Here is a 14010-nt window from a genome sequence, read left to right on the forward strand (position 1 = left end):
TCCAGGCCACGTGGAGGAAGCGCCCGGTCTGGCGCATGCGCTCTCCAGCGCGCTCTCCAGGAGCTTTGGCTCGGTGGGTACTGTCGCGGAGGCTTGTCATTCTGACCCGGGGATTCCTCACAGCGTCTGGCAGGTTGGTCGTGAGGGGCTGGTGCCTTCCAGGATGCGAGTGTCGGGGGAACTGTATGCGGCGGCCCCCCTCCCGGCGCCCGTCTCCCCTCTTCATCGTTTCTCTCTCAGACTCCGCTGACCTCTTTCCTTGCTGCCTGTGCCCGGGGCCCCTCTCCCTGGTGTCGCATCTCCTTCGGCCCCTGCGCTGGAGCCCCCTACGTCAGTCATTTCCCTTCATTGCCCCGCCGGGTGGAGGCCGTCCTGGGAATGGGCTTGCATCCCCTCTTCTGCAACCCCAAATGACTAATATGGGTCATTCTGGCGACCACGCTGAGATCTGGGCGTTGGTCCTCCCGTGTTCCCTTTCCTGCTCCTCCTGTGTTCCCTTCTCTAGGGTGCTCCTCGGGCTTTACAAGGTCACTGTCTGAACAGAGCCCTAGTGATTGGGATATCATTTCAGAAAGAAAGATGGTGATCTGGAATGGCCCAGATCCCTTGTAAGTATTCTGCTGTGTCAGAAGGGGTGGTACTTGGCTAAATATTTCTTATCCTGTTAATATTTGCATTGTAAGTACGCTTCGTTTCTTCATTTATGCGGGCACTCATAGATATATGAGTCCCTACTTTGTGTAAGGCACTCTGCTAGATGCTAGGAGGAATGCAACAGTTAAAAAAAATAATAATAAAATCTCTGCCTTCCCTGCTTCCTAAAGATAATACAAGAAAATCTGCTTTATTCCCTCTCATTTTGTCCTACATACTGCTAAGGTTTTGGCCTTCCTACTTCCGGCTCAGGAACCTTCTGATCTTTTTCATTGGTTTGGGGCCTGGAATAAAAGACCTTTCAGTCTGGCCTCCCCTTGCCTATTCAAGTTTCATTGTCATCTACTCCCTTTTCCCACTAGAGTCCTCCTGTATTCACACTGTGGATTCCTGAATACTCTTTCTTCCTTATCTGTGCAAATTCCAGCTAACTGAAATTCTATTTTCTCTTTGACTTTTCCTACCAATTCACATTTTTTTCTTTTTCTTCTTTCCTTCCTTTCCTTTTCTTTTTCTTTGTTTTCTTTCTTTCAAGACAGGATCTCACTCTGTCACCCTGGCTGGAGTACAGTGGCATGATCTTGGCTCACTGAAACCTTGACCTCCTGGGCTGAAGCAATCCTCCAGCCTGAGCATCTCAAGTAGTTGGGATTACAAGTGCACACCAGCACGCCCGGCTAATTTTTGTATTTTCTGTGGAGACGGGGCTTCTTCATATTGGCCAGGCTGGTCTCCAACTCTTGGGCTCAAGCAATTCTCCCACCTCAGCCTCCCAAAGTGCAGGGATTACAGGTGTAACCATTATGCCCGGCCTCATTTTTTTTCTTTCCCTTGTCCTGTTTCCTATTGTGCTGTACCGCATAATTTAGTATTTTATTATATGAGATCCTATTTTCTAATTGTTATGTGTTTCAAGAATAGTGGATTGGAGAGGGAAGGGGTGGAAAAAAAAAAAAGAATAGTGGATAGAGTCAGACTGCCTGGTTTGAATCTCAGCACAATCACAAGCTTAGTAGCCTTGGACTGGTATATAAAATCTCTGTGCTTCGATTTCTTCATTTATAAGATGAGAATAATACTAGTGACCACAGAGTTGTGAGAATTAAATGAATAAGTCATGTAGAATAGTGCCTGCCACATCAAGTTCTCAATGCTGCCTAAGATGACAAAATTCTTATTCTACTTTGGAATTATACACAGCCTGAAACTATTGGGCACATAGTAGGTGCCCAAAAGTTTATTAAATCTGATTAAACTAGATAATTAAGACATATTTTTATTTACAAAATAATTCACCATTTAAGTTTTTAAATAAGAAGCTATTTTGGAGCATTACAAATGATTCAACTTGTGTAAAATATTTCTTGTGAAACAAGGTACCTTTATTCTTAAGACAGATTTTATATCAAGTCTGAATCACCAACTTTTTAGATCTGGAAGAAAATAGACATCATCTAGTTAGTTCCCAGGTTCTCAAACTGGGAACTAACTAACACCAAAGGTTGTGTCTGGCCAGAGGATACTAAGCTGTATCAGAAAACATAACGTATCCATTTTATTTGAAGATTTGGCGAAAATATTTTTATAAAGGCAGCACATATTTAGTGCTTATTAAAGTTTGACAAAACTGACTTGAAGGTGAAGGTAAGAGTTAAGATTCCTTCTGGAAACTTTTTTTTTTGAGACAGGGTCTTGCTCTGTCACCCAGGCTGGAGTGCAGTAATGTGATCAAGGCTCACTCACTGCAGCCTTGACCTCCCTGTCTCAAGCGATCTTCCCACTTCAGCCTCCCGAGTAGGTGGGACCACAAGCTCATAACTATGCCTAGCTTATTTTTTGATTTCTTTGTAGGGATGAGTTCTCACTATGTTGCTCAGGTTGGTTTCTCCTGAGCTCAAGCAATCCTCCCGCCTTGGCCTCCCAAAGTGCTGGGATTATAGATGTGAACCACCACACCAGGCCTCTGGAAACTTTTAAATTAAATCCTCAGACTTCATAAAGATGCATCCTATATTCATTCCCTTCTGCTGTTAGAGGACCACTGCCAGTTTGATTTCCTCATATTTTAGTCTGGACCCAAAGCTCAGGGATGTTCCCAAGGTTATCCTAATCCTCCAGCACCAACCTTTTCTTGGACCATTCTAATACTGAGGGGAGCTAGAGTTTCTATGGTGTTCTTGTCTAGCCTTGCTGGTGAGTTCTGATTCAAGCAGGTAACAGTAGGTTAACTAAGTTGTTTTGTAAAATATTTGGAATGGCTTTTAATGCAGACCGATCTGAATCATGTGCTTCACTAGCCAGCCAGTTCTGCAGAACTCCATTTACTTCCTTCATACTGTTTAATTTGAAAAATGTTTTTGCATGTAGATATAGCTGTCTTTCATTTAGTTGAAATTAGTGGAGTGAGACAGTGAAATGGCATCAATCCCTGCTATTTCATTTATTATTTAAGAATAATAGCTACCATAAACTGAGCATTTAGTTAGCATAAAGCCCCATGCTAAGTGAGTTGTGTATATGCATTTTGCAAAGCCAAAACCATGTACAGTATGTATATGTTTGTTCATTTTTTTATTTTGAGACAGAGTCTCACTCTATCGCCCAGGCTGGAGTGCAGTGGCGTGATCTCGGCTCACCACAATCTCCGCCTCCTGGGTTCAAAGGATTCTCGTGCCTCAGCCTCCCGAGCAGCTGGGATTACAAGCGCATGCCATCACACGTGGCTCATTTTTGTATTTTTTTTTTTTTTTCTTGAGACGGAGTCTTGCTCCGTCGCCCAGGCTGGAGTGCAGTGGCGCGATCTCGGCTCACTGGAAGCTCCGCCTACCGGGTTCACGCCATTCTCCTGCCTCAGCCTCCCGAGTAGCTGGGACTACAGGCGCCCGCCAACACGCCCGGCTAATTTTTTGTATTTTTAGTAGAGACGGGGTTTCACTGTGTTAGCCAGGATGGTCTTGATCTCCTGACCTTGTGATCCTTCTGCCTCGGCCTTCCAAAGTGCTGGGATTACAGGCGTGAACCACCGCTCCCGGCCTCATTTTTGTATTTTTTAGTAGAGATGGGATTTCACCATGTTTGCCAGGCTGGTCTTGAACTCCTGGCCTCAAGTGATCCACTCGCCTTGGCCTCCCATAGTGCTGGGATTACAGGCATAAGCCATCCCACCTGGCCTGTATATAATGTTTAATTCTCACAGCAACTTGTAGAGGAAGAGGCTGAGGCTGAAAGTGAGAAAGTAATTTTCCTAAGATTATGTAACTAAAAAGTGTAAAGAAGGAATTTGAACCCACATCTTTCAAACTCCATAGTGAAAGCCCTTAAACACTATACCATATAGGCAAGTCTTAATTTTGTGTGAGGTCTTGCATTGGAAAAGGAAGTAAGTGAATGGGGGGTAATTTAGTGGCTCTCAGTGGAAGTGGGCAAATTCTGATGTGGCTGGCATTTTGGAAGTTTGTGTAGGTGTTTTGGTTGGCATAATTGGGCTAACATTGCTGGCATTTATTGGGCAGGGACCAGGGATATTAGACAGCCTGCTATGTGCAGAAAAGCCCCACAGTAGCCCAGTACCTAATTTATATAAAATTATTGGTTACACGGGTTTTTTTTTTTTTTTTTTTTGAGATGGAGACTTGCTCTATTGCCCAACTTGGAGTGCAGTGGTGTGATCATCTCGGCTCAATGCAACCTCCACCTCCTGGGTTCAAGCGATTCTCCTGTCGCAGCCTCCCGAATAGCTGGGACTACAGGTGCGCGCCACTGCACCCAACTAATTTTTTTTTTTTTTTTGAGATGGAGTCTTGCTCTGTTGCCCAGGCTGGAGTGCAGTGGCACGATCTGGGCTCACTGTAAGCTCCACCTTCTGGGTTCACACCATTCTCCTGCCTCAGCCTCCTGAGTAGCTGCGACTACAGGCGCCCGCCACCATGCCTGGCTAATTTTTTTGTATTTTTTTAGTAGAGACGGGGTTTCACTGTGTTAGCCAAGATGGTCTCGATCTCCTGACCTCATGATCCGCCCGCCTCAGCCTCCCAAAGCGCTGGAATTACAGGCGTGAGCCACCACGCCCGGCCCACCCAACTAATTTTTGTATTTCTAGTAGAGATGGGGTTTCGCCATGGTGGCCAGGTTGGTCTCGGACTCCTGACCTCAAGTGATTCGCCTGCCTCAGCCTCCCTAACTGCTGTGATTATAGGCATGAGCCACCGCACCTGGCCTGGTTACACCGTTTTAATATGCACTGAATTTTCCAGTAATGCAGTAAATCAAAGCAAGTTTGTACTTTTTTTGGCAGGGTGGCGGGGGTGGGGGTAGTTTACTAAGGAGTGTTGACCAATTTGGAAAATTACGTCATTAGTGGCATTGCTACCTTCTCTTTGAGGCACTGGTACAACACACCTGTGCTGCTTTGCCTTTGTAGCTGTTGAATTCATGGTAATTTTATGTATAGGTAGAAGTAAAGACTGGTATTAAAATACTGAACTGCTTTGAGAACAGCTTGGTAAATACCAGCTGCTCTGAGCTTCCCTACCTCCTAGTGTGTCCATGTATAGGGCCCTTCGGATTTCCTGCAGTTAGCAATGAAAGAGTTAATCACTGGTACCTTGGGGTTGAAGGGCTTCCAGGACCATCCAGCTTTATGGATTGTGCCAATGCCTGTGCTGGTGCCTGTGTGGATGTTATTATTCCCTGGGTTCAAAATCTATTCATAATATCATCTAGTGTAGTTGTGGTGAAATAGTTACATACAGAAATACATATTATTTTATTAAAATTACTTCTTAGGTCTCCTTTATGTTACATTTAGGGCATCTATTGTAGGGTATGTCTCGATATGTGTCTAATAGGTTATAACATTCATTTCATTTAAAAATAGAGAACAGCTGCTTCAAACTGAATCAGTAAAAATAGGGGATGTTGAGTTTGAGAGTTGGGAACTACTGACTGGTAAATCAGTCGGGGTCCCACTGTTTTTGTCCTTTATCTTGCTTCAAATTGAAATCATTATCTATTGCTATTATAAATTAAATATATAGCTGGCATCATCTGAGTAGTAGAAATGAAAGCGTCAGTAATTTGTGTTGTTTTTAATAGAGTTTCTCCTTTTGGAATAGGGTGTTCTGTATTTCATTGATTCAGGTGGCTCTTATTTCATCTAATAATCAAGGTAAAGTATTTGAACTAATTAATTTTTTATCATCCATAGCAATCTTATCTCATTTTTCATTCTTCTAACAGACTTTATGTGGTATCAACAGTTGTATATGATTTAATTATTTGACAGTGCAAACTGCAATATACTAATAGGGTCTCTTCCATCAATAGACTTATTTTGAATCACATGAATATTTACTCATTAAATTTATTTTTATTTTTGAGTGGAAGTTTCCTTTCCCTGTATTAAATGTATTACTTCCTTTCCAGAAATGTCAAATGCAAAAGAAAGAAAACACGCCAAGAAAATGAGAAACCAGCCTACCAATGTGACTCTGTCCTCTGGCTTTGTGGCTGACAGAGGTGTAAAGCACCACAGTGGAGGTGAAAAACCTTTCCAAGCTCAAAAACAAGGTAAAATACACATAAGAGACCAGGCATGGTGGCTCACGCCTGTAATCCCAGCACTTTGGGAGGCTGAAGTGGGCGGTTCATGAGGTCAAGAGATCAAGACCATCCTGGCCAACATGGTGAAACCCCGTCTCTACTAAAAATACAAGAATTAACTGGGTGTGGTGGCGCGTGCCTGTAGTCCCAGCTACTTGGGAGGCTGAGGCAGGAGAATCGCTTGAACCTGGGAGGTGGAGGTTACAGTGAGCTGAGATCATGACACTGCACTCCAGCCTGAAGACAGAGTGAGACTGTGTCTCAAAAAAAAAAAAAAAGATACACATGATGCTCTCTCCACTCCCATTTTGATCAAATTGCTTTTGTCAGCTCTTTTGATAGTCATTATCTAAATAGTAAATGAGCTGAATTAAAAACAGATACAGTAGACCCTTATTATTTTTGAGTTTCCTATTTGCAAGTTTGCCTACTTGCCAAAGCTTATTTGTAACCCCAATATTAATACCCATGAAGCTTTGGCTATCATTTGTGGACATACATAGAGCAGGAAAAATTTGAGTTTCCCTGTGTTTACGTTCCCAGCCGAGCTTCCCAGCTGTCATGCAGAAATGGGCAGAGGATGGAGGCAGTATAAGGGCAGGGCAGTACAGTGCAGGAAGCTCCAGCTCTCCTGGGGTTTGAATCTCAGCCCTGGGGCAGCCTCATGCAGGTCACTTAGCATTTCTAGACTTCATTTTCTCTTTTGTAAAATAAAGGAAATAAACTCTACCAGGAGGAGTTGTTTTTTGGATTTAAGATTATAATATGGCCAGGGGCGGTGGCTCACACCTGTAATCCCAGCACTTTCAGAGGCTGAGGCGGGCGGATCACCTGAAGTCAGGAGTTCGAGACCAGAGTGGCCAACATGGCGAAACTCCGTCTCTACTAGAAATACAAAAATTAGCCAGACATGGTGGTGTGTGCCTGTAGTCCCTGCCACTTGGGAGGCTGAGGCAGGAGAATTGCTTGAACCGGGAGGTGGAGGTTGCAGTGAGCCAAGATCGTGCCACTGCACTCCAGCCTGGGTGACAGTGAGACTGTCCCAAAAAAAAGGAAAAAAAAAAAGATTATAATCTATGTGAGATGAAGATATGTATGTATCCCCACTAGGAGGAATGGTTCAGTATTCACTAATTCATTGACGTAATTCAGGGACGTATGAAACATGACTACTATAAATAATGAAAATTGGCTATGCATATTTTAGAGCTGGTATATTTTATTTCTACCTTAACATCAATGATTATTATACTTCTGTGTTTCCTAAGAGAAGTGCAGTATAGTCATCATATCTGTATTTCACTGGTGTGCTGATTTTAGAACCTTATGAAGTGATAGGAAGATCACAGTTGTTCATTAGGGCAGCGGTAGAAAGTGCTAATTTGGGAAGACAGCAAAAGCAAGTGTCCAAGGACTTGTTTGGAGTGCTTTAAAAAACTGCATTGGGTCTGATTAAGTAAATTTTAGAGTCAAGTTCATAAGGTCTAGATTCAGATCCTACAGTTGATGCCTACCATGCCATATGATAAGGCTTTCACATTTTTTTTATCTCATTTAAACCTCACAATGTTCTAAGATTTATAGTGGCTTAATAATTAACACCACAATTGAAATAAGCAGAAACACTATAAAATTCTCTACTGATCTCTCCCTTAATTTACAGACAGTTTTTTTTTTTTTTTTTTTTTTTTGAGGCAGAGTCTTGCTCTGTCACCCAGGCTGGAGTGCAATGGTGCGATCTCGGCTCACTGCAACCTCCACCTCCTGGGTTCAAGCGATTCTCCTGCCTCAGCCTCCTGAGTAGCTGAGACTACAGGCGTGTGCTGCCACTCTTGGCTAATTTTTGTATTTTTAGTAGAGACAGGGTTTCACCATATTGGCCATGCTGGTGTCAAACTCCTAACCTCAAGTGATCCACCTGCTTCGGCCTCCCAAAGTGCTGGGATTACAGGCGTGAGCCACTGTACCCGGCCACAGACAGATATTTAATGTTGTCTTATAGTCATAATGCCCAGACACTTGTATGGAAATGTTGCCTTTTTTTTGGAGATGGAGTCTTGCTCTGTTGCCTGGGCTGGAGTGCAGTGGTGCGATCTTGGCCCACTGCAACCTCTGCCTCCCGGGTTCAAGCAATTATCCTGCCTCAGCCTCCCGAGTAGCTGGGACTACAGTCACATGCTGCCACACCCAGCTAATTTTTTGTATTTAGTAGAGACGGGGTTTTACCATGTTGCCCAGGCTAGTCTTGAACTCCTGAGCTCAGGCAATCCACCCACCTTGGCCTCCCAAAGTGCTGGGATTACAGACATGAGCTACTGTGCCTGGCTGGAAATTTTGCTTTTTAAAGTTTTAAGACAGGATCCCACTCTGTCACCCATGCTGAAGGGTAATGGCACAATCGTGGCTCACTTCAACCTTGACCTCCTGGGCTCAGGTGATCCTCCCACCTCAGCTTCCCGAGTAACTGGGGCTACAAGCATGTGCCATTATGCCCAGCAAATTTTTTTTTTTTTTTTTGGTAGAGACAGGGTTTTGCCACGTTGACCAGTTAGTCTCAAACTCCTGGACTCAAGTGATCTGCCCACCTTGGCCTCTCAAAGTTCTGGGATTAGAGGTGTGAGCCACCACATCCATCCTGGAACTTTGCTTTTAGTTATTTATTTAGTATAGTGGCTCTCAATTTGAGTGTGGCAGAGAGTTAGGATAAAAGACTGTACACAATCATGTGGATTATAGTATTAAGGGAGTGTCGTTTGGGCTGCTGTAACAAAATACAGGTTGAGCATTCCTAATCCAAAAATCTGAAGTCTAAAATGCTCCAAAATCCAAAACTTTTTGAGCGCCGACATGACATGACAGGTGGAAAATTGCACATCCGACCTCATGTGATGGGTCACAGTCAGAATGAAGGCATATAACACACAGTTTATTCAGCATTCCCATGGGAAAAAAGATGTTCCCAGCCCCCTTCAGCTGTGATATAAATATTTCCAAGCACTCCCAGATTTCACCACGTAAGCACACCCACAAAGACAAATAAAATACATGTAATTTTTACTGTTAAATACTTACATGTGAGTAAGTGTAAGAAAGTGATTGCTTATCAGTAGCATATAGATTCAGAGTCAGGAAGGATGCTGATGCCAGCCAACCACAGATTGTCCACAGGGTGGCTGAGATAGTGGCACCTTTGCTTTCTGATGGTTCAAGTATACAATGTGCAAAAAGTTTCATGCACAAATTATTAAAAATATTGTATAAAATTACCTTCAGGCTGTGTATGATAAGGCGAAAGAAGTGTAATTGAATTTTGTCTTTAGACTTGTGTTCTATCCTCAAGATATCTCATTTTATATATATACGAATATTCCAAAATCCAAAAAAATTGGAATTTGATACACTTCTGGTCCCAGTTATTTCAGATGAGGGATACACAACCTGTATCTTACTGGGTAGCTTATAAATAACAAATGTATTTCTCACAGTTCTGAGGGCTGAAAAGTCCAAGATGAAGGAGCGGGCAGGTTTGGTGACTGGTGTGGGCCTGCCTTCTGGTTCATATACAGCACCTTTTCACTGGTTCTCACATGGTGGAAGGAGCGAGGGTCTCTGTGAGCACTCCTTTATAAGGATACTAATCTCATTCATGAAGGCTCTACCCTCATGACCTAATCGCCTCCTAAAGGCCCCACCTCCTAATACCATCACCTCGGGGGTTAGGATTTCAACACTGGAATTTTGGGGGACATAAGCATTCAGACCATAGCAGGGAGCTTAGATTTGAAATTCATGTTGCACCGTTTATAGGAGAAAATTTCACCTGTATCTGTTATATCCAAGGTCCTTTATATGTCATCCTGACATGATTACCTTGTGTGCTACCTACTAGCTTTGTGACCTCGAGCAAGTTAATTCACCTTCCTACGTAAGATTCCTCTTTAAAAATAAGTAGTAATAGCCACCTTACAGGGTGACTATAGGATTAAAAACATGGTCAATGTTGCCACCCAACAAATATTAGTTCTCCACTATAATGTTTATCTCTGATAAAGGTGACATGTTTCTTTTTGAAAATATACTAGAGCCTCATCCTGGAACTTCACGACAGCGGCAAACCAGAGTCAACCCCCATTCTCTGCCTGACCCTGAAGTGAATGAGCAGTCTTCCTCCAAAGGGATGTTTAGAAAAAAGGGAGGATGGAAAGCAGGTCCCGAGGGCACGTCTCAGGAGATCCCCAAGTATATAACTGGTGGGTACTCATAAAGAGGTGCAGTTTGCTTGTATTTTGAACTCTCGTGTCTAGTGCAGCAACAAACTGCCCTCCTTGTGGTCCTGGCTCTGCCTCCCCTACCTCTCCTCTCCTCCTCCTACTTTAGACCCTTCTCGCCTCTAGCCTGGACTTTGGCCAGAGCTTCCTTGGGCTTGATGGCTCTCCCTTCTTCAGTTTCTCTCCCTGTCTCTTACTCTTCTTCTTACAAGTCTTTGTGAACTGTTCCTCTTTGTCTTAGCCCCCGTGCCCCTCTTGTTTTAAATATGCCATCCACACTCAGCACAGCATTCTCCAAGGATGGAAAATTGAGTACACACAAATGGCAACCAAACCTTTATTTAAAGGGCCTGTCTCCAGGCCCTTTCCATCCTCTTCTGTTCTTCACCCTATGATCCCCATCCACACTACCACAATTAAACCCTATATTCCTTGTACCTTGTACCTATACCTTAGATATGCTTTCTGGTCTCTCTTTACGCCTTCTTGGTGGAGGAATTCAGTTAAGTTTCCCCAGCAGCCTGTTTATTCTCCAATGTTAATTCAAGATTGGTGTTTAATGACTTTGTCATCTCCTTCAACAGCTTCTACTTTTGCTCAAGCACGAGCTGCTGAAATCAGTGCTATGTTAAAAGCTGTGACCCAGAAGTCTTCGAATTCACTGGTTTTTCAGACTCTGCCACGGCACATGCGACGAAGAGCCATGAGCCACAACGTCAAACGCCTTCCCAGACGGTTACAGGAGATTGCCCAGAAAGAGGTAGGAGTTCCACTTAGTGTAAATGTTTAGATTAGTAGCTCCTAGAAGAAATTGAGAAGTATTGACCTAATAGAATTTATTAAAAATGAAAACCAAGGCTGGGCATGGTGGCTCACGCCTGTAATCTCAGCACTTTGAGAGGCTGAGGTGGTCAGATTGCTTGAGCCCAGGAGTTCAAGACCAGCCTGGGCAATATGGCCTAACCTTGTCTCTACAAAAAAATCCGCAAATTAGCTGGGCGTGATGGTACATGTGTGCCTGTAGTCCCAGCTACTTGGAAACTGAGATGGGAGGGTACCCTGAGCCAGGGGAGGTTGAGGCTGCAATGAGCTGTGATCATGCTACTGTACTCCAGCCTGGGTGACAGTGAGACCTTGTCTAAAAAGAAAAAAAAAACTCAGAAAACATCACCCTTATGGTTTTTGTTTTTGTTTTGCATATATTTGATTTAATCATTATCCAAACTTCTTCCCTTCAAACGAAATTCACAGGCAATTGGCTATTATGGGTGCTTTGAAATATAGGATTTGATACTCCTCTCTTGTAAGGGTGTTGAATAGTTGATGTTCCCTTCCCAGATGTTAAAAAAAAACTCTGACCCTCTTACCGAGTGGTTTTGGATCTGTGTTTCTAGGGTGTGCCCAGCTTGGGGTAGGAAGGTTAAAAAAAAGCAATGTCAATGCTTAGCATTTGCTTTCTGACTTTTTCGAAGTTGAAAACTTGAACTGGGTTTTAATTTTTGTACAAGTCTAATTGTGTTTTGGCTTCACCAGAATTCTAGACTTGAACATTCTAAGATTAAGCCCATGTCTTTACTAATTGGTTTAAAACCTATTTATTGAGCAGCCTTCTATGTACCATTGCTATGCTGGTGGTGGGGTTTGAGTTCAAGAGGGAAAACTAACAAGGAATTTTATACTTTCTAGATTTAATATAAAATCTGTTTCCCAGTGATAGCATTCAGCATGTGTATGTCTGTAGCTTAACTGAGATGAAATGTATGGGTTTTCCTCACTTGTATTATTTTTGGTCTTAAGTTTTTGGTTTTAGTTACAATTCTACAGGTTAAAATGACAACAAGAAGCTAGCATTTGATTTCTTCTTTCTTGCCCTCTAATACTAATAGCCATATTAAGCTTGTGTTACTGTGTTGAACATTTTATAAGTATTCTGATCTTCATATTCCATGAAACTTGCCTAGTTAGTGAGTGATGGAACTGTGCCTCCTTCCTAGGTCTCCTAGCTCTAAAACATTCACTCTTTCCATTGTCTTCCTTCTCTACTTACATTGAAGAAACTAAGTTAACAATTTAAGCAAACTAATGGGATCTATAAAATATTCCACTTAATCTAAAGTTATTTGTTTGCATTCCTGACCGTTAACTCTGTTTTGAGATTCTTACAAACTGGGATATGTCCCTCTACTTGAAACTATAGGCGGAGAAAGCCGTACATCAGAAAAAAGAACATTCAAAAAATAAATGCCATAAAGCTCGAAGATGTCACATGAACCGGACGCTAGAATTTAACCGTAGACAAAAGAAGAACATTTGGTTAGAAACTCACATCTGGCACGCCAAGCGGTTTCATATGGTCAAGAAGTGGGGCTACTGCCTTGGGGAGAGGCCAACAGTCAAGAGCCACAGAGCCTGCTATCGAGCCATGACGAACCGGTGCCTCCTGCAGGTGAGCTTTTCCAGTGGGCTTTTTTTGTTATTTTTGTTTGATCCTTTTCCATAGAGGCCTTTAGAATAGTTTATGATGTGCCAAGCCCCGTTTATGTGATTATTCATTTTAAAAATAATTCCTGAGCATGAAGCCCGGGTCCTTTGCCAGATGCTGGAGATCAGGCAGCCTAAAGTTAGGGGGGTGACTGACATTAATCAAACGATTTACCAGATATGTGGTTGTAAGGGAAAAGCATACAGTATGATGAGCATTTCTAACCTAACTGGAAGGCGTCCCCCAGAAGTGCTGTTTGAGCTGAGCTCTAAGGGATAAGATGGGAGGAGAGGGGGAAGGCAGAAGGAAGCCAGGTGAGAGTGAAGAACTGGAATCAATTCTGTGTGACAGAGAAGAAGAGAAGGAGAACAAGGCAACATCAGGGCAAGGTTAGCCTAGAGAAAAGAGTAGGAACCAGGTCGTGCAGGTCTTGTTGATCATGTCAAGTTTTATTCACTATAGATTAATCTAACAGTCGTTCATCAATAACAGATATTTGAGAATCAACTGTGTACCCTGAACAGGGTTCAGAATGCTGGTCTAGGTGTTTATGGGTCAGTGGGATGCTGGGAAGGATGTTTTAAATTTTAAACGCTTTGAGAGGACAGATTATGTTAGAGCCTCTTAATAGTATTTATCTGATTGCTCCCTCCTCTCAGAAGCTAATTCAGTTGCTTTCTATTTCTTCCAATACATACTTAGACATTTGTTCTTTGCAGAAGGGCCTATCTTTCAGTGGCAGAATGGCCTTGGCCAAATTTTGAAAGCCATTACTATTGGTGTCCTTTGATACCCCTTGAGAGTAATGTGGTAGAATAAGCAATACAAGAATCTTTTTAAAAAATTGTGGTCAAATATACATAACAAAACCATTTGACCATTTTAAGTGTATAGTTCTGTGGCATTAAGTACGTTTACGTTGTGTAATCAGTACCACCATCCATCTCCAGAACTTTTTTATCCTTCCAAACTGAAACTCTCGACTCATTAAACACTAACTCCCAT

The 14010-nt window shown here is 42.7% G+C and overlaps 1 protein-coding gene across 4 annotated transcripts in view, besides 2 other annotated features; it reads left to right on the forward strand.

Moving 5' to 3' along the window:
• Window positions 19-68: an enhancer, noted in NCBI's record as "active region_27677". NCBI's record gives its function as "activates an Ori minimal core promoter by ATAC-STARR-seq in GM12878 lymphoblastoid cells {active_cell/tissue: GM12878}" and the evidence as "EXISTENCE:reporter gene assay evidence [ECO:0000049][PMID:35858748]".
• POP1 (POP1 ribonuclease P/MRP subunit) overlaps window positions 36-14010 on the forward strand; it is a 42543-nt gene continuing 28568 nt past the window's right edge. For 2 of the 4 annotated variants that reach the window (NM_001145860.2, XM_011516801.3), the window contains exons 1-5: window positions 36-133; window positions 6079-6222; window positions 10338-10505; window positions 11108-11283; window positions 12721-12969. In NM_001145860.2, the coding sequence (NP_001139332.1) occupies window positions 6081-6222; window positions 10338-10505; window positions 11108-11283; window positions 12721-12969 (735 nt within the window). In that variant the 5' untranslated portion in view covers window positions 36-133; window positions 6079-6080. Of the gene's footprint in view, window positions 134-582; window positions 609-6078; window positions 6223-10337; window positions 10506-11107; window positions 11284-12720; window positions 12970-14010 lie in introns of those variants that run through there. The other 2 variants (NM_001145861.2, NM_015029.3) reach the window with 2 other exon arrangements.
• Window positions 139-308: an enhancer, noted in NCBI's record as "active region_27678". NCBI's record gives its function as "activates an Ori minimal core promoter by ATAC-STARR-seq in GM12878 lymphoblastoid cells {active_cell/tissue: GM12878}" and the evidence as "EXISTENCE:reporter gene assay evidence [ECO:0000049][PMID:35858748]".

The sequence above is a fragment of the Homo sapiens genome, chromosome 8, assembly GCF_000001405.40.
Source record: "Homo sapiens chromosome 8, GRCh38.p14 Primary Assembly".
Lineage (NCBI taxonomy): Eukaryota > Metazoa > Chordata > Mammalia > Primates > Hominidae > Homo > Homo sapiens.